This window comes from Homo sapiens, chromosome 15, assembly GCF_000001405.40.
Source record: "Homo sapiens chromosome 15, GRCh38.p14 Primary Assembly".
Classification (NCBI taxonomy): Eukaryota; Metazoa; Chordata; class Mammalia; order Primates; family Hominidae; genus Homo; species Homo sapiens.
The window spans coordinates 27,637,556-27,640,242 of NC_000015.10; the positions used below are offsets into that span (position 1 = coordinate 27,637,556).

Sequence of the window (2,687 nt, forward strand, 5' to 3'; positions counted from 1 at the left end):
CCACTGTCAAGTCAGTCAGGAAAGCTAATTGACCATGATTTTAAAAAATCACAGCATCACTATGAGCAAAAGTAAACGCTATTACCTAGCTATTGCTATTCAGCTAACCGACATAGACACAACCTTAGTTTCAGGCACGAAGAACATTTTAAAAGAAAAATCAATGCACATGCTTTTCTGACTTTCTACTCTATACTCAATTCCACAGCTGAATGTGGAAGCCAGTAAAGATGCATTCTCAGTTATCCATCCTGGAAGATTTATCCCACTTTTCATTTCGTGGTCATTTTTACAGTAGCCCTGTAAACACATATTAATACATTTATTTCAATGTTCTGGCATAAAGTGTGTGTAAGGTTGACTAGGGGACTAACTCCGCTACTCCTTCTTAGTTGTAATAGGAGTTCCAAGCTTTAGGAAAAAGCATATACCAGCCAGGTGCAGTGGCTCCCGTCTGTAATCCCAGGACTTTGGGAGGCTGAGGTGGGTAGATCACCTGAGGTCAGGAGTTCGAGACCAGCCTGGCTAACATGGTGAAACCCTGTCTCTACTAAAAATGCAAAAATTAGCCAGGTGTGGTGGCATGCCTCTGAAATCCCAGCTACTGGGGAGGCTGAGGTGGGAGAATTGCTTGAACCTAGGAGGCGGAGGCTGCAGAGCCAAGATTGCGCCACTGCACTCCAGCCTGGGTGACAGAGCGAGACCCCATCTCAAAAAAAAAAAAAAAAAAAAGCATATACAAAGTACATAGGATAAAATTATGTCATGACACACACCATACACACATGAAGAAAGAGCAGGAAAATAATGAAACAACTGGGGCAAAATGGCGAGTCTGTGTGATGGCTATTCAGTTCTTTGTACTCTAATTACAGCTTCTTTGTAAGTCTGAAATTATAACCAAACGAAAAGTAACAAGTAAAGAAACAATAAAGAAATACAATTAGGCATACAGAAATATCAAATATGTCACTAATCCAAGAGAATCAAGAGAAATAAAAAAAACACCCAAGGGATTTAGGAAATTGAGTTACGAGATACTAGCTTTCAATTAACTAAAATTAAAATATCAAAAGAACTTAAAAATATTCTGAAGTGGAGCATAGAACTCCAAACTATGCTAAAGAATGAAATGTAAATTCTAAAAGTCAACAATAAAATCACCAAGGAGGAGGGGCTAAGACGGCTGACTAGAAACAGCTGCGATGCGAGGTTCCCATGGAAAAGAACAAAAACAGTGTGCAAATCCTGCACCGGCAACCGAGGTATCCAGATTCTATCACCAGGAATGACTAGGCAGTTGGTGCGACCCACAGAGAGCGAGGAAAAGCACGGTGGTGCAATGGCCCCACTAGGAGCCACATAGGGAAAGGGAAACTCCCACCCTCAGCCAAGGGAGGCAGTGAGTGACCTGCACTACCCAGCCCGGAAAACTTTTTTCCACGGATCTGTGCAACCCGCGGATCAGGGGTTCCGCCTAGTGAGCCCACGCCACCAGGGCCTTAGGTTCCAAGCACAGAGCTGTGCAGATTCTCAGCGGCCACTTGGCTGGAGACTGCCTAAGACGGGGGAGGGGCAGGCGCCATTATCACTGCATCTGCCTCTGCGGCTGCCAAAGACCACTGAGCCCCTCGGGGGAGGGGCGACCGTCATCACTGCTTCTGCATCTGCTGCTGCCTAAGACCACTGAGCTTCCCAGGGAGGGGTGGCCATCATCACTGCTTCTGCATCTGCTGCTGCCTAAGACCCATCACTCCTTCTGCATCTGCTGCTGCCTAAGACCACTGAGCTTCCCGGGGAGGGGCGGCCATCACCACCGCTTCTGCATCTGCTGCTGCCTAAGGTCACTGAGCTACCTGGGGAGGGGCGGCTGCCATCACTGCAGCTCCAGTCAGCTGTTTTTCCCCTGCCAGCACCAGGGAGACTGGATGGTATGGACCCGGGAGGAATTCCCCACAGCCAGCACAGCGGCTGTGGCAGATCATGGCCAGAGTGCCTCTTTAGGCAGGACCCTGACCCATCCCTCCTCACTGGGCGGGGCCTCCATGCGGGAATTTCAGCAACTCCAACCAGGGGTTTAGGGACAGAACTTTGACCTCCCTGGGACTGAGCTCCTGGGGAAAGGGGTGGCCGTGGTCTCCAAGGACCAGCAGACTTAGTTTTTCCCCCTGCTGGCTCTGAGGAACCCAGCCAGTCCGGACGAGTGGAATTCCCTCCAGCACAGTGCACCCCCTCTCCAAGAGACAGCCAGAGTGCTTCTTTAAGCGAGTCCCGGATCCCGTGCCTCCTGACTGGGTGAGCCAGGGGTTTCCGGACACCATATACAGGAGCATTCCCACTGGCATCAGGCCGGCACCTCTCTGGAACAGAGATCCCAGAGGAAGGAGCAGGCAGCCACCTTTGCTGTTCTGCAGCCTCCACTGGTGACATCTCCAGATGCGGGAAGGACCCAAGTGAATAGGGTCTGGAGTGGACCTCCAGCAAACCACAGCAGCCCTGCAGAAGAGAGGCTTGACTATTAAAAGAAAAACAAACAAAAAGCAACAACAGCAGCAGCATCAAAAGAAATCCCCACAAAAACCCCATCCAAAGGTCAGCAGCCTCAAAGATCAAAACTAGATAAACTCATAAAGATGAGAAATAAGAAAAAAATGCTGAAAACTCAAAAAGCCAGAGTGCCTCTTCTC

General features: G+C 49.0%; 1 annotated feature.

The window, feature by feature from the left end:
• Positions 1,008–1,752: an enhancer, noted in NCBI's record as "H3K4me1 hESC enhancer chr15:27883709-27884453 (GRCh37/hg19 assembly coordinates)". NCBI's record gives its function as "activates a minimal SCP1, AML or CMV promoter by ChIP-STARR-seq in naive H9 embryonic stem cells {active_cell/tissue: H9 hESC(naive)}" and the evidence as "EXISTENCE:reporter gene assay evidence [ECO:0000049][PMID:30033119]".